The 24,482-nt window shown below is 51.0% G+C and overlaps 1 protein-coding gene and 3 pseudogenes across 4 annotated transcripts, besides 2 other annotated features; 2 read left to right on the forward strand and 2 right to left on the reverse strand.

Annotated features, from left to right (window-relative positions):
• Positions 80-23,285, reverse strand: ECSIT (ECSIT signaling integrator). 4 transcript variants are annotated; one of them, NM_016581.5, is made up of 8 exons: positions 23,213-23,285; positions 13,226-13,344; positions 7,955-8,372; positions 7,207-7,430; positions 2,142-2,199; positions 1,853-2,001; positions 1,608-1,713; positions 80-579 (listed from the first exon to the last, which is right to left on the reverse strand). In NM_016581.5, the coding sequence occupies exons 2-8, from the start codon at positions 13,319-13,321 to the stop codon at positions 335-337; spliced, it is 1,296 nt and encodes a 431-aa protein (NP_057665.2). In that variant the 5' UTR covers positions 13,322-13,344; positions 23,213-23,285; the 3' UTR covers positions 80-334. The 4 variants fall into 4 exon arrangements, with proteins under 4 accessions (NP_057665.2, NP_001230133.1, NP_001135936.1 ...); NM_001243204.2 differs by lacking the exon at positions 23,213-23,285 and adding an exon at positions 22,896-23,016 and having other exon boundaries at positions 1,853-1,880; NM_001142464.3 differs by lacking the exon at positions 1,853-2,001.
• Positions 136-185: a silencer, noted in NCBI's record as "silent region_10116". NCBI's record gives its function as "represses an Ori minimal core promoter by ATAC-STARR-seq in GM12878 lymphoblastoid cells {active_cell/tissue: GM12878}" and the evidence as "EXISTENCE:reporter gene assay evidence [ECO:0000049][PMID:35858748]".
• Positions 1,608-2,385: an enhancer, noted in NCBI's record as "H3K4me1 hESC enhancer chr19:11618272-11619049 (GRCh37/hg19 assembly coordinates)". NCBI's record gives its function as "activates a minimal SCP1, AML or CMV promoter by ChIP-STARR-seq in naive and primed H9 embryonic stem cells {active_cell/tissue: H9 hESC(naive and primed)}" and the evidence as "EXISTENCE:reporter gene assay evidence [ECO:0000049][PMID:30033119]".
• RN7SL833P (RNA, 7SL, cytoplasmic 833, pseudogene) lies at positions 10,198-10,481 on the reverse strand (annotated as a pseudogene).
• RPL18AP13 (ribosomal protein L18a pseudogene 13) lies at positions 16,082-16,701 on the forward strand (annotated as a pseudogene).
• Positions 17,507-18,004, forward strand: RPS12P32 (ribosomal protein S12 pseudogene 32; annotated as a pseudogene).
• Positions 23,286-24,482: the final 1,197 nt, after the last annotated feature.

Raw genomic sequence — 24,482 nt, forward strand, 5'->3', positions numbered from 1 at the left:
TTCGGCGCCGCCGAGAAATTTCTCACGGTCTCTCGCTGCCCCAGGGCGCCAAAAGGAGACCAAGAATGGAAACTGCGCATGCGCACAACCAACAGCGCTCCCGCCCCTTTTTATTTGAATTCGGAGAACCAGAGGCGCCTGCAGATTCTGGAGGGGTCTCGCCTGCCCATCGCTGGCAGCCCGAGATCCTGGGGAGGGGATGCCATACTGCTAGAGATGAGGGAAGAGAGCCCCAAGCAGGAAAACATTGATTTGCTGTACACTCAAAGGGCATCTCATGCCTTCAGTCCACCGCCTCCTCGGGCCACAGCCCGTGCCCTCGCGCCGGCTCAGACTAGCTCTGGCCCTGCTGCTGTCGCTGCAGGTTGTCGTCTTCTTCCTGGTGGTCCTCGGGCAGGGGCGGCTCCTCCAGCCCTGCAGAGGATGTCTGGAGCTCCCGGGTGGACCCGGCGAGGCGGAAGACCACGGGGATCTGGGCCAGGGTTGGGTTGGTCTCCTGCAGGCCCTGGATCCACTTAGCCATCGTCGCCTGGTCATGAGCACCCGCCATGCACATGGCGAAGACAGGGCCTTCCTCCACTGTTGGAAGACATGCACCCTTAAGGTTTGCACAGTGGGGGCTGCAGCGGCTAACCCATGCCTACACCTTTTTGAGGTATTTTACACTCCCTTCCACTTCCTTTTTTTTTTTTTTTTTTTTTTTGAGACGGAGTCTCGCTGTGTCACCCAGGCTGGAGTGCAGTGGCGAGATCTCGGCTCACTGCAACATCCGCCTCCCAGGTTCAAGTGATTCTCCTGCCTCGGCCTCCCGAGGAGCTGGGATTACAGGTGCACAGCACCACGCCGGGCTAATTTTTAAATTTTTAGTAGAGATGGGGTTTCACCATGTTGGCCAGGCTGGTCTCGAATTCCTGACCTCAAATGATCTACCCGCCTCAGCCTCCCAGAGTGCTGGGATTACAGGCGTGAGCCACTGTGCCCGGCTTCCTTCCACTTTCTTGTGCCTCCAAACCTTTGCACAAGCTAGCCCCGCTGCCTAGGCTGCCCACTCCACACTTCACCCGGGCGATGACTCCTGGTTTTTCTGTATTCTGCCAGGAAGGCCTCCTGACCCCCCACTCAAGGCATGCTCCTCTCCTAAGCTCCCCAAAGTGTAATTTGCCTGTTCCCTTGCTGACTCGAGGGACTAGGTTTGTCCTGGTGACACCCAGTAGCCAGCACAGAGTTGTAGGAGGGAGGGAATGAACAAGGGCCAACAGGGCTGGGTGACCTCAGGTCTGGAGCCCCTGGGGCAAATGAGTGTGTGCGGCCGGAGGACGAGGGTGTAAGTGGACTGCGTCTCAGCCTGGGCCTACCCCTTGACCCCAGAGGCCGCCCCTCATCCTGGGTGGTGTTTGGAATGTTTGGAAGTCCTGCCTGTCCAGGTTTTTGCCTTTTTTTTTTTTTTTTTTGACACAGGGTCTATCATGTAGGCTGGAGTGCAGTGGCTCTATAATAGTTCACTGCAACCTCAACTCCTGGGCTCAAGTGATCCTCCCACCTCAGCCTGTAGGAGGGCTGGGATTACGAGCACACATGTGAGCCACCGCACCTGGCCCAGTTTTTACCTTCATTGATGTCAAACTCGTAGTTGTCCCAGCCACTCCTCACATACTCCAGGTCCAGCTGCATCGGGTAGTAGAGGTTCCACTCCTCCGGCGTCTCTTCCACTTCCTACTCCAAGGTGGGGAGTGCAGGCGGGGTCAGAGGCCAGGGCTCTCTCGGTCTCCCTCCTCCAGCCTCTCCCATGCACCCTCAGGGTAGTGCCAGCCCACTCCCCAGCCCCAACACATGCTTTGCTTTAAGCCCTCACCCTCTCCTCCGGGGGCAGCAAGTCAGCTCTGAGGATGTGGTAATACACACACTTGTTGCGGAGCCACAGGGAGAAGGGGCCCTCAACAAAGACAGGCCGGGCTGGATTGTGGCGGGCCAGGGCGGCCTGCTGATCGGGACTCTGGATTCCTGGTGTGGAGACATACATGCCCTGTGCCCTGCAAGGGACTCGGCCCAGAGGCCCAGGGAGCCCAGCCTAGGCCCAGCGAGAACCTGGCAGGGCCTGGGTAAGGTTAGAGACTTGGCTGCCCCCATGCTCTCGGACTTACCTACGATGTGGGGCTGGGGGGGATCTGCTGCACCTGTTGAGTCTTTGGGCAAAGGAACCTGCAAGGGAGAGTAGGGATATAATCTTGTAACCCCCAATCCCCTACAGAGGAACTGGGGACAGAGAAACAGAAAGGGGGATACCAGGGAATTCAGGACACCTCTCCTGGATCTGGTACACGGCCCTCCAACCTGTCCCCTCCTCCCTCTGTCCCATTTGGCAATAACCACCAATCTTTAGGATGCTCACCCTGAGGGAACTACCCTAGAACCAGCCCACCTTTGTCAAAATCCTGGCTCTGTCACAAGCTGTGTGACCTTGGCCAAGTCACTGTACCTGTGTGCCTCAGTTTCTCCAGATGCACAATAGGGATGATAACAGCACTTAATTCCGATTTTTTTTTTTTTTTTAGGGATGGGGGTCTCCCTCTCTGTCATCCATGCTGGAGAATGGTGGCATGATCATAGCTCACTGTAGCCTTGAACTCCTGGGCTCAAGTGATCTTCCTACCTCAGTCTCCCAAGTAGCTGGGTCTACAGGTGCACACCACTATGCCTGGCTAATTTTATTTTTTTAATTTTTGAAATGGAGTTTTGCTCATTACCCAGGCTGGAGTGCAATGGCATGATCTCGGCTCACTATAGCCTCCGCCTCCTGGGTTCAAGCGATTCTCCTGCGTCGGCCTCCCAAGTAGCTGGGACTACAGGCGCCTGCCACCATGCCCGGCTAATTTTTTGTATTTTTAGTAGAGATAGGGTTTTGCTATGTTGGCCTGGCTGGTCTCAAATTCCTGGCCTCAGGTGATCCGCCTGCCTTGGCCTCCCAAAGCACTAGGATTATGGGCATGAACCTAACTTTGGGTGGTTGTAAAATATGTAGCACAGTCCCTGGCAAATAATAAGTGCTCAGTGCTTGTGAATTAAAAAAAGAAAAATAACTTCACATATACAGAATATCCCAGGAAGGAGACACTAGAAGCAAATGATAGCTTTCACCTCTGTGGAGGACAGGGTGGGAAGGAATACCTTTTTTATCTTTTAAAATTTTATACCTTGAACATAATTCAAAAACACTAGACAATTTTTTTTTTTTTTTTTTGGGACAGAGTTTCGCTCTTGTTGCCTAGGCTGGAGTGCAATGGGGCTTGATCTCAGCTCACCGCAACCTCCACCTCCTGGGTTCAAGTGATTCTGCTGCCTCAGCCTCCCGAGTAGCTGGGATTACAGGCATGCACCACCACGTCTGGCTAATGTCTGTATTTTTAGTAGAGACAGGGTTTCTCCATGTTGGTCAGGCTGGTCTCAAACTCCCAACCTCAGGTGATCCACCTGCCTCAGCCTCCCAAAGCATTGGGATTACAGGCATAAGCCACTGCGCCCCGCTGACAAAGTTTTTTTTTTTTTAACAAAATGCACTTGCTTTTGAAACAAAACAGTGGACAGCTATTAGAACATATATCATTCATCCTTTCAAGTTAAAAAAAATTGAGATGAGCAGGCCGGGCGCAGTGGCTCATGCCTGTAATCCCAGCACTTTGGGAGGCCGAGGGTGGTGGATCACTTGAGGCCAGGAGTTCAAGACCAGCCTGGCCAACATGGTGAAACCCCGTCTCTACTAGAAATACAAAAATTAGCCAGGCGTGGTGGCACACGCCTGTAGTCCCTGCTACATGGGAGGCTGAGGCACAAGAATTGCTTGAACCTGGGAGGAGGAGGTTGTAGTGAGCCGAGATTGTGCCACTGCACTCCAGCATGGGCGACAGAGCAAGGCTCTGTCTCAAAAAAACAACAAAAAAATTTGAGATGGATCAGTGACTTCTAGTTGTATTAAATGAAATTTGTAAAAGGCAAGGTACATGTATATAATGCCCTGCTACTAAAGAAACTTTTTTTTTTTTGAGATGGAGTTTCGCTCTTGTTGCCCAGGCTGGAGTGCAATGGCGCGATCTCGGCTCACTGCAACCTCCACCTCCTGGGTTCAAGTGATTCTCCTGCCTCACCCTCGCAAGTAGCTAGGATTACAGGCATGCACCACCATGCCTGGATAATTCTTTTTGTATTTTTAGTAGAGACGAGGTTTCTCCATGTTGGTCAGGCTGGTCTCGAACTCCCAACCTCTGGTGATCTGCCTGCCTCGGCCTTCCAAAGTGCTGGGATTACAGGCGTAAGCCACCATGCCTGGCTAAAGAACTTCTTTTTTTTAAACAGACAGGATCTTGCTCTGTCACCCAGTCTGGTGTGCAGTGGTATGATCACGGCTCACTACAGACTTGACTTCCTGAGTTCAAGCCACCCTCCTGCCTCAGCCTCCTGAGTAGCTGGGGCTACAGGTGTGCACCACCACTCCCAGCTAATTTTCGTATTTTTTTGGTAGAGATGGGGTCTTGCCATGTTGCCCAGGCTGGTCTCGAACTCCTGGGCTCAAGCAATCCATCTGCCTCAGCCTCCCAAAGTGCTGGGATTACAGGCATGAGCCACTGTGCCTGGCTGTATTTTACTCCATAAGACGGGGGAGAAGGATATTTAAATACAAAGGATACAGATGCCAAAAAAAAAAAGAGAGAGAGAGAGAGAGATCTGCTTGCAAATGTATAGAACCTCTCTGGAAGGAGACATGGAAATAGTCACCTCTGGGGAGGGAGACGGGCGGCGTCAGGGGCAGCGCACGGGGCCTGGGTAGAAGCAGAGGACTCGTCACTGTGTGCTTTTACATGCTGTTTGGCTTTTTAGTGCATTGCTTTGCAAAATGAAGAAATGAACTAAAAACAACCCTCCCCCCCACATTCTGCTGCTGGTCTCAAGCCATCTCTCACCTGGACCCACGACCCTGGTCCCCTAGCCCCTCTCCCCATCCAACAGCATCCACACGGCTGCCAGGAGACACGTTTCCAATTGCAGATTCTTCCAGAAACATGATTCCAACCCGATTCCTTCTTCTTAAATCTCTGCCCCCCCACCCCCGGCATAGCTCTCCCCACCAACCAAGAGGTTTGAGATCAAGCTCTTTAATCAGGTGCCCCCACTCACTGCACCGCATTTCCTGGTACACACTGCTCCCTCTGCCCAGCGTCCTCTGCTCTCCTTACCTCCCCCAGGAAGCCCCACCTGCCCACTCGGCTCCCACAGCACCCCGGGCTTCTCCATCTCAGAACCACTGGCTCTTAAGGAAACTGTTATCTGTCCAGGACCACATGACAAGTGCTGTGAGGGGCTCTCTTTGGATCCCTTGTGTGATCTGGCATGAGTGGGGGCTCCCAGGACACTGAGTTGAGGGTGTTACTCCACTCAGTCATTCAACAAACCACTGCCAAGTGTCAGCTTTGCACCAAATCCTGTGCTCAGCCTTGGGAGACAGGAGGGAGACTGAGTCATGGTGAATGAGGAACCAAGCCAAGCACGGTGAAGGGGTGGTGCCTTGGCCAGGGAGGTCAGGAAGGGCATCCTGATTAGGAACAGTGGAGCTGAGACCGGAATAACATGAAGTCCATGGGGAACAGTGTTCCTGGCAGAAGGAACAGAGAACGCAAAGCCCTGTGGTGAGAATTGGCACAGAAAATAAGGAAGATGCCTAGAATGTAGCAAGTGTTGGGAGAAGGATGGGAGGGTGCTATGGTCTGAATGTTTATGGCCCCCTGAAATTCATATGTTGCAATCTATCTACAATGCAATAGGATTAAGAGGTCAGGCCTTTGAGAGGAGAGGCACTTAGATCATAAGGGCTCTGCCTTCATGAATGAGATTAGTCCCCTTATAAAAAAGGTCTTGGCCGGGCACAGTGGCTCACGCGTGTAATCCCAGCACTTTGGGAGGCCGAGGTGGGCAGATCATGAGGTCAGGAGATCAAGACCAGCCTGGCCAACATGGTAAAACCCCGTTTCTACTAAAAATACAAAAATTAGCTGGGCCTGGTGGTGCATGCCTGTAATCCCAGCTACTTGGGAGGCTGAGGCAGGAGAATCGCTTGAACCCGGGAGTCAGAGTTGCAGTGAGCTGAGATGGCGCCACAGCACTCCAGCCTGGCGACAGAGCGAGACTCCATCTCAAAAAAAAAACAAACAAACAAAGGTCTGAGGGGGCCAGGCATGGTGGCTCATGCTTGCAATCCCAGTACTTTGGGAGGCTAAGGTGGGTGGATCGCTTGAGCTCACGAGTTTGAGACCAGCCTGGGCAACATGGTGGAACCCCATTTCTACAAGAAATACAAAAATTAGCCGGGCGTGGTGGTGTACGACTGTAGTCCCAGCTACTTGGGAGGCTGAGGTGAAAGGATGGCTTCAGCCTGGGAGGTGGAATTTGCCGTGAGCCAAGATAGTGCTACTGCGCTCCAGCCTGGGCAACAGAGCCAGACCTTGTCTCAAAAAAAATATGAAGAGGTCTGAGGGGCTTGTTTGCCCCTTATATTATGTGAGGACACAGCAAGGTGTCATCTTTGAAGCAGAGAGCAAACCCTCACCAGACCTAGATCTGGTGGCACCTTGATCTTGGACTTCCCAGCCTCTAGAACTGTGAGCAATAAATTTTTGTTGTTCATCAATGACCCAAGCTAAGAGATTTTGTTAGAGCAGCCTGAACGGACTGAAGCAGAGGTCACTCAAGCTGTGCTAGCAGTAAGGACCATGGGAACCTACCAGGGGACTCAGCCAGAGAATCAGAACTCAATTCACGGCCAGGCACAGTGCCTCATGCCTGTAATCCCAGCACTTTGGGAGGCCGAGGCAGGAGGATTGCTTGAGCCCAGGAGTTCAAGGCCAGCCTGGGCAATATAGTGAGACCCTGTCTCTGAAAAAAAAAAACAGTTTTTTTAATTAGCCAGGCATAGTGGTGTGTGACTGGAGTCCCAGCTACTCAGGAGGCTGAGGTGGAAAGATCGCTTGAGCCTGGGAGGCAGAGGCTGCAGTGAGCCGAGATAGTGCCACCACACTCCAGCCTGGGCAACAGAGCAAGACCCTGTCTCAAAAAAGAACTTGATTCACCACAATCACTAGAGTGAGAGAAGGGGAGCCCAGGGGAGGAATGGCGGGAGCCTGGCCTGGGGTGGCAGCTGACGCTGTAGACAAGGGCGGATACCTGGTAGATGGTGACCCTGGCACTAAGGTCAGGCTCCATGTGCCGCAGGCCAAACATGGCCAGCTCCACAGGGTCCTGGGGCAGGTCCCGGGGCACTGGGAAGGGGTTGACGTTCATGAATCGAGGGAACCACAGCTTCAGGCGCACCAACTTGAGCATGGGGTAGCTTTTGCGTCCAAAGATCTGAATCAGCAGGAACTCCGTCTCCTTGTTGGGCATCACACCTGTGCTGGGCAGATGCAGGCAGAACCTCAGAGATGGAGGGGGAGGAGGGAAGGGAAGAGGAGAAAAGAAAACAGTGAAGTGAGGGAATTGATCACAGACAGGGAGAAAAGAATCAGAGAGAATTAGAAAGAAAAAGGCTCATGCCTGTAATCCCAGCACATTGGGAGGCCAAGGGGAGAGGATCACTTGAGTCCAGGAGTTTGAGAGCAGCCTGGGCAACATAGTGAGACCCCATTTCTAAAAGAAAGAGAGAAAGAGAGGAAGGAAGGGAGGGAGAGAGAGGCAGGGAGGAGAGGAGAAGAGAGGAGAGTGGGGGGAGGAGAGGGAGGGAGGGGGGAGGGGAGGGGAGGTCAGAGGGAGGCAAGAAAGAGAGATGAGTGATGAAAAGAGGGATTCGGAGAGGGAGAAGAGCGAGAGAGACAGAGACGGAGCCATGGAGGAAGGAGGGGCTGAGACTCAGGAGAGGTGCTGCCAGCTATCAGTGTAGCCCACTCCCCACCCTGCGCCAGCCTCCTGGCCTCACCGTGGTTCTCCATCTGCTCCAGGACAGCAATCCCACACTCCTGCTGCCGAGGGTAGTGGACGAAGATGCGCTGGATGATGTTGCGAGGCCGGAAGACCTCCTTGGGGAAGATGTTGAGCAGCTGGTTGTACACAGCCAGGTCCCGCTCGACACCATACTCCCGCATCTTGCGCAGGGCCAGGTAGATGAAGTCAATGTGGCCCCGCTTACGCACGCTGTGCTCCGCAAATTTCTGCACCGTCTGCAGGAAGCTCGCCTTGTCCCGTTCCCCACCAGGCGCCTGCCCAAACAGGTCCTCAAAGGGCACCAGAGCCTTGGTGGGCCTCTGCCGGGGTTCCGGTGGGCTGGGAACCAGGGACTGTTCAGAGCTATGGGCAGCTGCGCTGCAGTGGAGGCCCCGAGGGAGCCGGCGAGGGACCTGGGGAGGGAGGAGAACTGCTGGAATCTGGCACCTCTCAGTGTCTATGGGGGGCCGCCAGGCTGGCTCTTTCCTCAGAGAGGTCCCAGTGGCCTCCCTGAGGACTCGGAGGTATGGAACTGTGGTTACAAACCCAAGATTCGAGGCCATTACAAAGTGCGATAAAACACAATGCTGGCACAGTAGGGAGGAAACAGGCACTGTTAGCCATGGCTACGGGGAGCTGGTAAAAACTGCCACGGAGGCAACTTGGTAATATTCACAGTGATGACACACACATGCCGGTTTTTTTTTGGGTTTTTTTTTTTGGTTTTTTTTTGAGACGGGGTCTGGCTCTGTGGCCTAGGCTGGAATGTAGTGGTGCTACTGTGGCTTACTGCAGCTTTCAACTCCTGGGCTCAAGCAATTCTCCTCCTCACCCTGTCCAGCAGCTGGAACTACCGGTGTACACCACCACACCTGGCTAATTTTTAAATTTTCAGCAGAGACGGGAGTCGCACTATTTTGCCCAGGTTGGTCTTGAACGCCTGGCTTCAAGTGATCATCCCGTCTCCACCTCCCAAAGTGTTGGGATTACAGACATGAGCCACTGTGCCTGGTGGCCCTTTTTGCTTGTAATTTTTTTTTTTTTTTTTTAGACAGAGTCTCATTCTGTCACCCATGCTGCAGCGCAGTGGCGTGACCTCAGCCCACTGCAACCTCTGCCTCCCATGTTCAAGCGATTCTCATGCCTCAGCCTCCCAAGTAAGCTGGACTACAGACGTGCTCCACCACGCCCTGCTAATTTTTGTATTTTTAGTAAAGATGGGGTTTCATCATGTTGGCCAGGCTGGTCTCAAACTCCAGGCCTCAAGTGATCCACCTGCCTCAGCCTCCCCAAGTCTTTTTTTTTTTTTTTTTGAGACAGAGTCTCGCTTTGTCACCCAGGCTGGAGTGCAGTGGCGCGATCTCGGCTCATTGCAAGCTCCACCTCCCGGGTTCACGCCATTCTCCTGCCTCAGCCTCCTGAGTAGCTGGGACTACAGGCGCCTGCCACCACGCCCAGCTAATTTTTTGGATTTTTAGTAGAGACGGGGTTTCACTGTGTTAGTCAGGATGGTCTCGATCTCCTGACCTCGTGATCCGCCCGCCTTGGCCTCCCAAGTGCTGGGATTACAGGCATGAGCCACCGCGCCCGGCGTAGCCACCTTAAGTCTTGAGATTACAGGCATGAGCCACTGTACCCAGCCCCTTCTTTCTTTTTCTTTTTTTCTTGAGACAGAGTTTCACTCGTCGCCCAGGCTGGAATGCAATGGTGTCATCTCAGCTCACTGCAACCTCTGCCTTGTGGGTTCAAGCGATTCTCCTGCCTCAGCCTCCCAAGTAGCTAGGATTACAGGCGCCTGCCACCATGCCCAGCTAATTTTTATGTTTTGTTTGTTTGTTTTTCCTGAGATGGAGTCTCGCTCTGTTGCCAGGCTGGAGTGCAGTCACACGATCTCAGCTCACTATAACCTCTGACTCCCTGGTTCAAGCAATTCTTCTGCCTCAGCCTCCCAAGTAGCTGGGATTACAGGCACATGCCACCATGCCCAGTTAACTTTTGTATTTTTAGTAGAGACAGGGTTTCACCATGTTGGCCAGGCTGGTCTTGAACTCCTGACCTTGTGATCCGCCCACCTCGGCCTCCCAAAGTGCTGGGATTACAGATGTGAGCCACCATGCCCGGCCTAATTTTTGTGTTTTTAGTAGAGACGGGGTTTCACCATGTTGGCCAGGATGGTCTCGAATTCCTGACCTAAGGTGATCCACCCACCGTGGCCTCCCAAAGTGCTGGGACCCTTTAAGAGATGGAGTCTAGCTATGTTGCCCAGGCGGGAGTGCAGTGGCTATTCACAGGCATGAGCCAACTGGTCAGCACAGGAGTTTTGACCTGCTGTTTCCAACCTGGGTCAGTTCACACTTCCTTAGGCAACCTGGTGGTCCCCCAAGTCCCAGGAGGTCACAATATTAAGCAAAACTTAGTGCAGGACACTCCATCAGCATAGTGCACAACAGCCCAGAACTCCTGGGCTCAAGTGATCCTCCCACCTCAGCCTCCAGAGTAGCCAAATTCTGGTTCTAGATGACACAGTAACAAATTTCTTATTTTAAATTGAATTTTTAAATTAGAAGGGTTACATATAAGGCATCTTAAAAATATACAGCTAGTTATCAAGGTTGTACTGTGCTTTGATTGCACCACCGCATTGCAGCCTGGGCAACATAGTGAGACTCCATCTCTCTATGAAAAAATAAAAAAATAAGCGGGGCGTGGTGGTGTATACCTGTAGTCCCAGCTACTCAGGAGGCTGAAGCAGGAGGACTGCTTAAGCCCAGGAATCCCAGGCTGCAGTGAGCTATGATTGTGTCACTGCACTCCAACCTGAACGAGAGAGTAAAACCTTATCTCTAAAAAATAAATGAATGTGTGTGTGTTTATCTACACACACACACACACACACACAAAACGCTAACAAGTAAGAGCCAATATTAGTCCAGGCTCGGTGGCTCACACCTGTAATCCTAGCACTTTGGGAGGCTGAGGCGGGCAGATCACCTGAGGTCAGGAGTTTGAGACCAGCCTGGGCAACCTGCTGAAACCTCATGTCTACAAAAAAATACAAAAATTAGCCAGGCATGGTGGTGAATGTATGTAGTCCCAGCTACTCAGGAGGCTGAAGTAGGCAGATCAATTGAGACTGGCGGGTCGAGGTTGCAGTGAGCCAAGATCACGCCACTACACTCCAGCATGGGCAACAGAGCGAGACCCTATCTCAAAAGAAAGAGACAATATTTACCAAATATTCTTCCACTGTAGACACAGTTGAGCACTTTACAAATGTGAGGCCCTAGGTGGGGGGTACTCTTACTGCACTCATTTTACAGATGAGAAAAACCAAGGCTCAGGAAGATGAAGTGGGATGCACAGTGTTACACAGCTGCAAAGCATCAGAGCTGAGAATGGAGTCAGTGCCCTCAGTCCCCCTACTCTGCGGTCCCCACAGCCATCCCATATCGTTCTTTGATAAGGCAATGTTAAAAAAAAAAAAAGGCATTCATTTACAGTAAAATTTCAGGTTGGGCGCAGTGGCTCGTGCCTGTAATCCCAGCACTTTTGAGAGGCGGGTGGATCACTTGAGGTCAGGAGTTTGAGACCAGCCTGGCCAACATGGTGAAACCCCATCTCTACCAAAAATGCAAAAATTAGCCAGGTGTGGTGCCGCACACCTGTAATCCCAGCTACTCAGGAGGCTGAGGCAGGAAAATCACTTGAACCCGGGAGGCAGAGGTTGCAATGAGCTGAGATCACGCCACTGCACTCCAGCCTGGGTGACAGAGGGAGACTCCATCTCAAAAACAAAAAACAACTGAAATTTCAGTCAATTAATAATATAGGTGGTGTAGTATTGTACCACTTTGGGGTAAAAATCAGAAAGGAAGCTCTAAAATGCCTAACGAGGGGGAAACACTGCAAAGGAGGTAATGTAAATGAAATGCATAGTGCGGGGCCGGGCACAGAGTAAGTGCTCAATATGGGAACTATTAATATTCCCACCATCATCGTTATTGCTATCTATGGCTGTCAATCTGCTTTCGCCATCTGGTCACTATGGGTATAGGAAAGAAATTCAGTTTTCTGCCCCATCTTCACAAGTAGATGCAGGAGGAGCTGCTCACAGTCACCACACAAATCCACCGAGCTCATACATCCTTATTTTCAAAGTCAATCCCCTCACCCACGTAGGCACTAGCATCTCTTAAATTAGGGTCCAGGCACAGTGGCTCACACTTGTAATCCTAGCACTTTGGGAGGCCAAAGTGGAAGGACTGAGGGCCCAGAGGTTCAAGACCAGTCTGGGCAACACAACAAGACCATATACTTAAAAAAAAAAAAAATTAGCGGCCGGGTGCGGTGGCTTATGCCTGTAATCCCAGCACTCTGGGAGGCCGAGGCGGGTGAATCACCTGAGGTCAGGAGTTTGAGACCAGCCTCGCCAACATGGCAAAACCGCGTCTCTACTAAAATTACAAAAATTAGCTGGGCGTGGTGATGTGCACTTGTAATCACAGCTACTCGGCAGGCTGAGGCAGGAGAATCACTTGAACCCAGGAGGCAGAGGTTGCAGTGAGCCAAGACCACGCCACTGCACTCCAGCTTTGGCGACAAGAGCAAAATTCCATCTAAAAAAAAAAAAATTAGCTGGGCATGGTGGCTCAAATCAGTGATCCCAGCTACTCAGGGGGCTGAGGTGGGAGGCTCATTTGAGCCCAGGAGTTTGAGGCTGCAGTGAGCCCTGATTCCACCACTGTACTCCAGCCTGGGTGATAGAGCAAGACCTTGTTTCAAAAAAATAAATAAATTATGGACTTTTGGCCAGGCGCGGTGGCTCACGCCTGTAATCCCAGCACTTTGGGAGGCTGACGCAGGTGGATCACTTGAGCCCAGAGTTCAAGACCAGCCTGCCCAACATGGTGAAACCCCGTCTCTACAAAAAAAATACAAAAACTAGCCGGGTGTGGTAGTATGTGCCTGTAGTCCTGGGTACTTGGGAGGATGAGGCGGGAGGATTGCTTGAACCTGGGAGGTCAAGACTACAGTGAGCTGTAATCACACTACTGCACTCCAGCCTTGGTGACAGAGACACTGTCTCAAAAAACAAACACATAAACATACATACATACATAAACTAAGGACTTTTAATGGGACCTCGGCACTGATAGGCCAGCCCAGACTCACCAGAACTGGCTTCACAGAGTGGATTCTGAAGGAGTTGGGAGCAAATCCCAAGCTTACCTCCCTCTACCCAAAAGACTGCCTGGCTGGTGCTTACCTGAGAGATGGAGGTTCCTGTGAGGGCGGCCCCGCAGGTGCCTCCCCAGGCCCTACAGAGGCCTCGGGCCAGTAGGGTGGCCTGGACCCAGCTCATGCCTCTGCTTGTCAGACAATCACCTGGCCCAAAAGAAGATTCAGCATTAGCCTGGCACCTTACAGATGCTAACAGACGCAAGGGCCCCGCAGGGTCGAGGGCACACTCCAGATTATGTGGCTCACTCACCAGCCCCAATGTTTACCTTACCCAAGAAACAGGCTGATGACTCAAAGACTTTGTTCTTGGGACAGCACCCTAATCCTGCTGCCCCAGGGGCGTGATCATAGCTCAATGCAGCCTCCAACTTCTGGGCCCAAGTGATCCTCCAGCCCCAGAGCGTCGAGAAGCTGGGACTACAGACGCGTGCCACCATGCCCAGCTAATTTGAAAATAGTTTGCAGAGACCCAGGGTCTTGCTGTGTTGCCCAGGCTGGTCTCGAACTGTTGGCTTCAAGTGATCCTCCCATCTCTGTCTCCAAAAGTGCTGGGATCATGGGTGTGAGCCAGCACTCCTAGCCACTACAATCTAATTTTACAAAATCTGTGTCACTCCAACAAGAATCCCTGTACCTGGCCAGGCGCGGTGGCTCACGCCTGTAATCACAACATTCTGGGAGGCTGAGGCGGGCGGATCACTCGAAGTTGGGAGTTCGAGACCAGCCTGACCAACATGGAGAAACCCCATCGCTACTAAAAATACAAAAAATTAGCCGAGCATGGTGGCGCACGCCTGTAATTCCAGCTACTGGGAAGGCTGACGTAGGAGAATTGCTTGAACCCAGGAGGCAGAGGTTGCAGTGAGCCAAGATGATGCCATTACACCTCAGCCTGGGGAACAACAGCAAAACTCCATCTCCAGAAAAAAAAAAAAAGAAGAAAAAAAAAAAAGAAAGAAACCCTGTACCCATTAGCACTCAATTTCCCTTCACTCCCAACCCCAAGAAACCACTCATCCACTGTCTCTATAGATCTCCCTATGCCGGCCATTTCATACAAATGGAATCTGGAATCACAAGTGCTCCTTTATGATTGGTTTCCTTCACTTGACATGTTTTTTTTCTTTTTTCTTTTTTTCTGAGATGCAGTCTCGCTCTGTCACCCAGGCTGAAGTGCAATAGTGCCATCTCGGCTCACTGCAACCTTCGCCTCCCGGATTCAAGCGATTCCCATGCCTCAGCATCCCGAGTAGCTGGGATTACAGGTACATGCCACCACGCCCGGCTAATTTTTGTATTTTTAGTAGAGATGGGGTTTTATCACGTTGGCCAGGCTGGTCTCGAACTCCTGACCTCAAGTGATCCGCCAGCCTCAGCCTCCCCAAGTGCTGGGATTACAGGCGTGAGCCACCGCACCTGGCCCACTGACGTGTTTTCAAGGTTCATGCATAGATTTTTTTTTAATTTTTATTATTTTTATTTTTAGACAGGATCTTGCTTTGTTTCCCAGGCTGGAGTGCAGTGGCACAATCTCAGCTCACTGCAACCTCTGCTTTCCGGGCTCACGATTCTCCTGCCTCAGCCTCCTGAGTAGCTGGGACTATAGGTGTGTGCCACTGCATCCAGCTAATTTATAGATTTTTTTGTAGAGATGGGGTTTCGCCATGTTGCCAAGCTGGTCTCAAACTCCTTACCTTGTGATCCGTCCGCCTCAGCCTCCCGAAGTGCTGGGATTATAGTCGTGAGCCACCGCACCCGGGCTTTTTTTTTTTTGAGATGGAGTTTCATTCTTGTTGCCCAGGCTGGATTGCAATGGCATGATCTTGGCTCACTGCAACCTCTGCCTCCCGGGTTCAAGTGATTCTCCTGCCTCAGCCTCCCAAGTAGCTGGGATTACAGGCACCCGCCACCATACCCAGCTAATTTTTGTATTTTTAGTAGAGATAGGGTTTCACCATGTTGGCCAGGCTGGTCTTGAACTCCTGACATCAAGTGATCCACCCACCTTGGCCTCCCAAATTGCTAGGATTACAATCATGCCCGGCCAATTCCACTGTTTTTGGAATGGAATATAACCAGGTTTTGTATGGCTATAACCATATTTTATTTATGCATTCATCAATTGATGGACATTTGGGGTTGTTTGCCAAATGTTTTTGACTGTTATAACTACTACTGCCATGAACATTCGTGTAGAAGTTTTATGTGAACACATGTTTATACTTCTCTTGGGTATATACTTAGGAGTCAAACTGCTGAGACATATGGTAACTACATGTTTAACATTTTTAGGAACTGCCAGACTGTTTTTGGGGATGACTGCACCATTTCACATTCCCATCGGCAACGTACAGTTGACCCTTCATCAACAAAGGCTTGAACAGCATAAGTCCATTTATACGTGGATTTTTTTTTTTTTTTTCAGTAAAAGTTATGGCTGTACGTGGTGGCTAACGCCTGTAATCACAGCACTTCGGGAGGTCGAAGCAGGCAGATCACCTGAGGCCAGGAGTTCGAGAGCAGCCTGGCCAACATGGGAGAGACCCTATCTCTACTAAAAAAACAAAAAAACAAAAATTAGCCAGGCTGGGGGCACACTCCTGCAGTCCCCAGCTACTCAGGAGGCGGAGGCAGGAGAATCACTTGAACCCAGGAGGCAGAAGCTGCAGTGAGCCAAGATCGTGCCACTGCACTCCAGCCTGGGCGAAAGAGGAAGACTCTGTCTGAAAAATAAGAATAAGACCAGGTGTGGTGGCTCACGCCTGTAATCCCAGCACTTTGGGAGGCCAGGCAGGATAATCACTTGAGGTCAAGAGTTCAAGACCAACCAACCAACGTGGCAAAACCCCATCTCTACTAAAAATACAAAAATTAGCCAGGCTCCTTTTGCCGGTGGCGGCAAGCATGGAGAGGATGCCATGAAGGCCTCGGGCACACTACAAGAGTACAAGGTGGTGGGTTGCTGCCTGCTCACTCCCAAATGCCACACACCACCCCTCTACCACATGCGAATCTTTGCACCTGATCATGTCGTTGCCAAGTCCCACTTCTGGTACTTTGTATCTCAGCTAAAGAAGATGAAGAAGTCTTCGGGGAGACTGTCAACTGTGGGCAGGCATTCGAGAAGTACCGCCTGCGGGTGAAGAACTTCGGCATCTGGCTGCGCTACAAACTCCCAGAGCAGCACCCACAACATGTACCAGGAATATTGGGACCTGACCACCACGGGCGCTGTCACCCAGTGCTACCGAGACATGGGCGCCCGGTACCCCACCTGGACCCATTCCATCCAGATCATGAAGATGGAGGAGATAGCAGCCAGCAAGTCCCACCGGCTGGCCGTCAAGCAGTTCCAAGACTCCAAGATCAAGTTCCCGCTGCCCCACCAGGTCCTGCGCCATCAGCACAAGCCACGCTTCACCACCAAAAGGCCCAACACCTTCTTCTAGGGGTAGGGCCCTCACCCAGGTGTGCCCCACGTAAACTCAGGAACGCCCCGGTAAAAAAAAAAAAAATTAGCCAGTCATGGTGGTACATGCCTGTAATCCCAGCTACTCAGGAGGCTGAGGTGGGAGAATTGCTTGCACCTGGGAGGCAATGTTACAGTAAGCTGAGATCGCGCCACTGCACTCCAGCCTGGGTGACCGAGTGAGACTCTGTCTCAAAAAAATTAATTAATTAAATTTAATTAAATAAAAGTTACAACTTTAAACACTGAGGGGCTAGTAAAAAGAAAAAAGGTCGGGCACGGTGGCTCACGCCTGTAATCCCAGCACTTTGGGAGGGTGAGGCGGGTGGATCACGAGGTCAGGAGATCGAGACCATCCTGGTTAACACGGTGAAACCCCATCTCTACTAAAAATACAAAAAAAATAGCCAGGCGTGGTGGCAGGCACCTGTAGTCCCAGCTACTCAGGAGGCTGAGGCAGGAGAATGGTGTGAACCCGGGAGGCGGAGCTTGCAGTGAGCTGAGATCCCACCACTGCACTCCAGCCTGGGTGACAGAGTGAAAGAAAAAAAAGTTACAGCTGAATGTGCCTGCCTCTCCATCTACCTCCTCCACCACCTCTTCTGCCTCTGCCACCCCTAAGACAGCAGGACCAACCCCTCCTCTTCCTCCTCCTCCTCAGCTTACTCAATGTGAAGACGATGAGAATGAAGACCTTTATGATGATCCACTTCCACCTAATGAATAGTAAATTCAATGTGTTTTCCTGATTTTCTTAATAACATTTTCTTTTCTTCAGCTTATTGTAAGATTATAGTATTATATATATATATAACATTAAAAAATATGTTAATCACCCTTTCCCTGCCACTGCCGAGTTGCGCGGAGGCGGAGGCTTGGGTATGTTCAAGATTCAGCTTCACCCATAACCCACTGCCATGGCCGAGGGAGGCATTGCTGCTGGAGGTGTAATGGATGTTAATACTGCTTTACAAGAGGTGCTGAAGACCGCCCTCATCCACGATGGCCTAGCACGTGGAATCTGTGAAGCTGCCAAAGCCTTAGACAAGCGCCAAGCCCATCTTTGTGTGCTTGATCCAACTGTGATAAGCCTATGTATGTCAAGCTGGTGGAGTCCCTTTGTGCTGAGCACCAAATCAACTTAATTAAGGTTGATGACAACAAGAAACTAGGGGAATGGGTAGCGCTCTGTAAAATTGAGAGAAGGGAAACCCTGTAAAGTGGTTGGTTGCAGTTGTGTAGTAGTTAAGGACTATGGCAAGGAGTCTCAGGCCAAGGATGTCATCCAAGAGTACTTCAAATGCAAGAAATGAAGACATAAATCTTTGGCTCACATAAAAAAATAAGTTAATTGACTGTTATGTAATCACTGAGACCTCTGGACAACAGTGGGCTATTAGTAGTTAAGATTTTTTGTTTTGAGACAGGATCTCACTCTGTTGCCCAGGCTGGAGTACAGTGGTATGATCATGGCTCACTGCAGACTTGACCTCCCAACTCAAGCAATCCTCCCACCACTGCCTCCTGAGTAGCTGGGATTACAGGTGTGCGCCACCACACTCAACTAATTTTTACAATTTTTATAGAGGCTGGGTTTCCCTCTATTTTCCAGGCTGATCTCAAACTCCTGGGCTCAAGCAATCCTCCCACCTCGGCCTCCCAAAGTGCTGGAATTACAGAGGTGAGCCACTGCACCTGGCTGGATTTTGGGGGTGTCAAAAGTAGCCTGGCAGGGTGGCTCACGCCTGTAATCCCAGCACTTTGGGAGGCCGAGGTGGGCAGATCACGAGGTCAAGAGATCGAGACTATCCTGGCCAACATTGTGAAACCCCATCTCTACTAAAAGTATAAAAATTAGCTGGGCGTGGTGGCAGGCGCCTGTAGTCCCAGTTACTCGGGAGGCTGAGGCAGGAGAATCGCTTGAACCCAGGAGGTGGAGTTTACAGTCAGCCGAGATTGCGCCACACTGCACTCCAGTCTGGATGACACAGCAAGGCTCCGTCTCAAAAATAAATAAATAAATAGAGCACCCCACTGAAGGCTGGGCACAGCGGCTCATGCTTCTTATCCACTTTGGGAAGTCAGAGTGGGAGGATCACTTGAGCCCGGGAGATCAAGAACAGCAAAAAGAAAAAAAAAAAAGAAAGAAAAAAAATACCAGCTGGGTGTGGTGGCACTCATTTGTAGTCCCAGCTACTCAGGAGGCTGAGGTGGGACGATCACTTGAGCCCAGCAGTTCAAGGTTATATGAGCTATGATTGTGCTACCACACTCTGGCTTGGGTGACAGAGTGAGACCCTATCTCAAAAATAAAAAAATAAAAAATAAAAAGCACTCTGGCCAGGCGCAGTGGCTCATGCCTGTAATCCCAGCAATTTGGGAAGCCAAGGCGGGTGGATCACAAGGTCAGGAGTTCAAGACCAGCTTGGCCAAGATGGTGAAACCCCGTCTCTACTAAAAATACAAAAATTAGCGGGACAGGGTGGCGGGCGCCTATAATCCCAGCTACTAGGGAGGCTGAGGCAGGAGAATCACTTGGACCTGGGAGACAGAGGTTGCAGTGAGCCGAGATTGCACCACTGCACTCCAGCCTGGGCAACAGAGTGCAACTTCATCTCAAAAAAAATAAATAAATAAAAATAAACATAAAAAGCACTGCAATGACTTTCATATGCACCTAGGATTAAGACCTTAATTTAAATTTTCAGGGCCAGGCTCGGTGGCTCATGCCTGTAATCCTAGCACTTTGGGAGGCCATGGTGGGAGGACTGGTTGAGCCCAGGAGTCCAATACCAGCCCTGACAACATAGCCAGACACTGTCTCTATAAAAAAATTTAAAAATTAACCAGGCATGGTAGTATACACCTGTCTGTGTTCTCATTCCTTGGGAGGCTGAGGTGGGAGGATCACATGAGCCTGGGAGGTCCAAGCTACAGTAAACCAAGTTCATGCCACACACTCCAGCCTGAGCAACACAGCAAGACCCTGACTCAAAACAAAAAAACAAAAACAAAAACAAAAAAACTACAGCTACTTAAAGTGTGTTCTAGGGACTGGCAGTGTCAGCAACATTTGGAAGTTTATTAGAATAGCAAAATTTGGCCGGGCATGGTGACTCACGTGTGTAATCCCAGCACGTTGGGAGGTCCAGGCCAGCTGATCACCTGAGGTCGGGAGTTCGAGACCAGCCTGACCAACATGGAGAAACCCTGTCTCTACTAACAAAAAAAAAAAAAAAAAAATACAAAATTAGCCGGGTGTGGTGTATGCTTGTAATTCCAGCTACTTGGGAGGCTGAGGCAGGAGAATTGCTTGAACCTGGGAGGCAGAGCTTGTAGTGAGCCAAGAGCACACCATTGCACTCCAGCCTGGGCAACAAGAGCGAAACTCCATCTCAAAAAAAAAGCAAAATCTCGGCCCTATCCCAGACCTACTGAACTGGAATCTGCATTTTTTTTTTTCCCAGGCGGAGTCTTGCTCTGTCGCCCAGGCTGGAGTGCAGTGGTGCAATCTTGGCTCACTGCAACCTCCGTATCCTGGGTTCAAGCAATTATCCTGCCTCAGCCTCCCGAGTAGCTGGGATTACAGGCACATGCCACCATGCCTGGCTAATTTTTGCGTTCTTAGTACAGACAGGGTTTCACCATCTTGTCCAGACTGGTCTTGAACTCCTGACCTTGTGATCCACCTGCCTTGGCCTCCCAAAGTGCTGGGATTACAGGCATGAGCCACTGCGCCAGGCCCAAATCTGCATTTTAGCGAGTCCCTGGTATCTCCTGTGAGCATTAAAGTTTGAGAAGTGGTGATCTGTGTGCTGATGGCTCCCCAATGTTCACCTCAATCCCTGGGCCCCAGCCTTTATACCTAACTGCCACTTTGGCATATACCCAGCCATCTCAAACATAATTTGCTCCAAACTGATATCCTTGCTTAAACTTGATCCTCTCCATCCTATCCAATCGCACCACTACTACTGGCCATTCAGGCTACAAACCTAGGAGACATTTCTGAGTCCACTATGTCCCTCACTCTCCTATTCAATCCATCAACTAGTCTAGGTGACTACTTCCAAATCCATCCCAAATGCATCTCTTTCTATCTGAAGCCACCACCTCAATCTATGACTTGGATACCTATCAAGCCTCCCACTTTTGCCCTTCCTGCCTCCAGTCAGTTCTCCCCACTATGGCCAGAGGGAGCTTTTTTTTTTTTTTTTTGGAGACAGAGTCTCACTCTGTTCCCCAGGCTGGAGTGCAATGGCGCATCTCGGCTCACTGCAACCTCCGCCTCCCCAGTTCAAGTTGGTTCTCATGCCTCAGCCTCCCGAGTAGCTGGGACTACAGGTGTGTGCCACCACACCCAGCTAATTTTTTGTATTTTAGTAGAGATGGGGTTTCATCATGTTGCTCAGGGTGGTCTCGAACTCCTGAGTTCAAGCAATCCACCCATCTTGGCCTCCCAAAGTGCTAGGATTACAGGTGTGAGCCACCACACCCAGCCAGAGGGAGCTTTTAAACTAAAATTAGGCCAGGCGCTGTGGCTCACGCCTGTAATCCCAGCACTTTGGGAGGCTGAAGCAGGTGGATCACAAGGTCAGTTCAAGACCAGCCTGGCCGAGATGGTGAAAGCCCGTCTGTACTAAAAATACAAAAATTAGCCAGGTGTGGTGGCAGGCACCTGTAATCCCAGCTATTCGGGAGCCTGAGGCAGGAGAATCACTTGAACCTGGGAGGTGGAGGTTGCAATGAGCCAAGATTGTGCCACTGCACCCCAGTCTGGGCGACAGAGCGAGATTCCATCGCTAAATAAATAAATAAATCAACTAAAATTAGTGATTTCTGCCTAAAATCGCTAACGGCATATCACACTTAAAATCAGAGACTGGGCACACTGGCTCATGCCTGTAATCCCAACACTTTGGGAGACCAAGGTAGGAGGATCACTTGAGCCCAGGGATTCAAGACCAGCCTGGGCAACATAGAGAGACCCCATCTCTACAAAAAAATTAAGAATTATCCAGGCATGGTGGTGAATGCCTGTCATCTCAGGTACTCAGGAGACTGAGGCTGGAGGATCCTTTAAGGTCAGTAGTTAGAGGTTGCAGTGAACCATGACTGCACTTGTGAATAGCCACTGCACTCTAGCCTGGGCAACATACTGAGATCCTGTCTCTAAAAATAAATAAATAGCCAGGGAGCAGTGGCTCATGCCTATAATCCTAGTGCTTTGGAAGTCCAAGTGGGGAGGATCGCTTGAGCCCAGGAGTTCAAGACCAGCCTGGACAACATAGCAGGACACGATCTTTACAAAAATTATTTTAAAAAATTAGCTGGACCTGGTGGTGTGCACCTGTAGTTCCAGCTACTGGGAAAGCTGAGGCAGGAGAATCACTTGAGCCATGGAGTTTGAGGCTGCAGTGAGCTATGGAGTGCACTGCACCACTGCACTCCAGGCTTGACGAACAAGTGAGATCCTGTCTCTAAAAAATAAAAATAAATAAATAAAATCAGATAGGGTCTACCCCTCTAAACTCAACTCCTACCACTGGCAGCTTCAGCTACACTGTTTCTGAAAGAAACTAAGTTTATCCCATCTCAGAACCTTTGTACTTGCTTTTCTCTCTGTCTAGAGCTTTCTTCCTCCAGATCTGCCCACAGCTGTCTCTGGTCATTTCAATGAAAGGTCTTCTTTGACCATCTCCCATTCCCCACATTCTAAAAGCCCTCATCACCCTATTAATTTTTGTTTCGGAGACAGGGTCCTGCTCTGTTGCCCAGGCTGGGGTGCAGTGGCACAATCACGGCTCACTACAGCCTCAACCTCCTGGGCTCAAGCAATCCTCCCACCTCAGCTTCCCGAGTAGCTAGGACTACAGGCGTGCACCACTACGCCCAGATAATTTTTTGTAGAGAACAGGGTCTTGCTATGTTGCCAAGGCTGGTCTCGAAACTCCTGGGCTCAAGCGAAATTCCCGACACCATTAACGCATTTTTAGTAACTTATCAGTATCTGAAATCACCTGTTTCGTTTATTTCTAATTTGTTCAAAGTCTGGTTCCCCCAGGAGATGAGAGATTTTTATCTATCTTCCTCATTGCTGTGTCTCCAGCACCAAGGACAGTGCCTGGTATATGACAGATGCCTAACGAGTAACAACTGAACGGAAACAAGCCTCAATTTCAAAAAAACACCTATAAATCTGAACCCCGAGGTATGGTGTACGTACAACAGCTTTGAAACCGGCTGCCAGGATTCTGGGTCTCTTGGGGGAAAAAGGCAGACGCGGATTCCAAATCCTGCCCGGTTGCCGACTTGCGGCGTGACCTCTCGCGAGGTCATCTGCAAAATGGGAGACTGGGGGCGTGAGGCGGCTGGCACAAGACAGGCGGCCTTTCCCAGCGCGTCCCCGCCCCCACTACGAAAGGTCATGGCGCCCTGGCCCTGCAGCTGGGTCCCTCCAGGGCTGCCCTCTCGCGCTGCCGGGTCCTGAAGGGCCCGCCTGCAGCCCAGCAGTTCGCGTTCGCCTACCCGCGCGCGACCTACCTACTCACGCGGCCAGCCGCGGACTCCAGGCCAGCTCTGTCTTGTTGCTGGGCGCTGCCATATTGGCCCAGAGAGCGTCCGGGTCAGGGAGCTCCAGGGAGGTAGCAAATCAAGAAAGCTGGTGTAATAGGTCCCGCCCACAACGCGAGGTGGGCCAATAGGAAGGCGGAAGGATCTGGGACCCGCCTCATAACGAGCCAGGCCCAGCCTCTAATGAGGCAAGACGCACTCCAGACCTGGGAACCTTGAAATGGCCCGGGAGGCTGGACTTGGGAGTCATAGTCTATGAATCCAGTCGCAGGCCCCAGCGGCTGAAATGAGAAAATGAATTAAAAAAAAACAAAAAGTGAAAGGGGGCCGGTACGGTGGCTCATGCCTGTAATCCCAGCACTTTGGGAGGCCAGAAGTTCGAGACCAGCCTGGGCAACATAGCGAGACCCCCTTATCTACAAAAAATTTAAAAATTAACTGGGCATGATGGCGCATGCTCATAGTCCCAGCTATTCGGGAGGCTGAAACGGGAGGATCGCTTGAGCCCTGGAGGTCGAGGCTACAGCGAGCCATGATTGCACCCCTGCACTCCAGCCTGGGCAACAGAGTGAGACCCTGTTTCTAAAAATAGTAATAATAAATAAATAGGGCAGGGCGCGGTGGCTCACGCCTGTAATCCCAACACTTTGGGAGGCCGAGGCCTGCGGATCACCTGAGGTCAGGAGTTCGAGACCAGCCTGGCCAACATGATGAAACCCCGTCTCTACTAAAAATACAAAGTTAGCAGGGCATGGTGGTGGGTGCCTGTAATCCCAGCTTCTCGGGAGGTTGAGGCAGGAGAATCGCTTGAACCCGGGAGACGGAGGTTGCAGTGAGCCAGGATAACACCACTGCACTCCAGCCTCAGCAACAGAGCGAGACTCTGTCTCAAAAAATAAATAAATAAATAAAAATTAGTGGGGCGTGGTGGCGTGCTCCTGTGATCCCAGCTACTCGGGAGGCTGAGGCACGAGAATTGCTTGAACCCAGGAGGTGGAGGTTGCAGCGAGCCGATATAGCACCACTGCACTCCAGCCTGGGCGACAGAGTGAGACTCCGTCTCAGTAAATAAATAAATAGGAAGGCCTCAGTGAGGTGTCCTTTGAGTAAAGGCCGGAGGAAGTGAGTGAGCCATCTGGATATCTGGGGAACGCTTTTGGCACTGGGAACAACAGCAAAGACTCTGTGTGGTCGGAGTGGAGTCTTTGGAGGAAATGGGATAAAACGAGGTGAGATTGAG

This window comes from Homo sapiens, chromosome 19 (genome assembly GCF_000001405.40).
Source record: "Homo sapiens chromosome 19, GRCh38.p14 Primary Assembly".
NCBI lineage: Eukaryota > Metazoa > Chordata > Mammalia > Primates > Hominidae > Homo > Homo sapiens.

Excerpts from the sequence above, each read along its gene's own strand:
- ECSIT (NM_016581.5), bottom strand. The coding sequence starts at position 13,321 with ATGAGCTGGGTCCAGGCCACCCTACTGGCCCGAGGCCTCTGTAGGGCC. Across the intron at positions 7,431-7,954 it reads GGAGCAGATGGAGAACCACG|GTGTGATGCCCAACAAGGAG; the intron begins GTGAGGCCAGGA and ends TGCCCAGCACAG. Across the intron at positions 1,714-1,852 it reads TGCTGCCCCCGGAGGAGAGG|GAAGTGGAAGAGACGCCGGA; the intron begins GTGAGGGCTTAA and ends ACCTTGGAGTAG.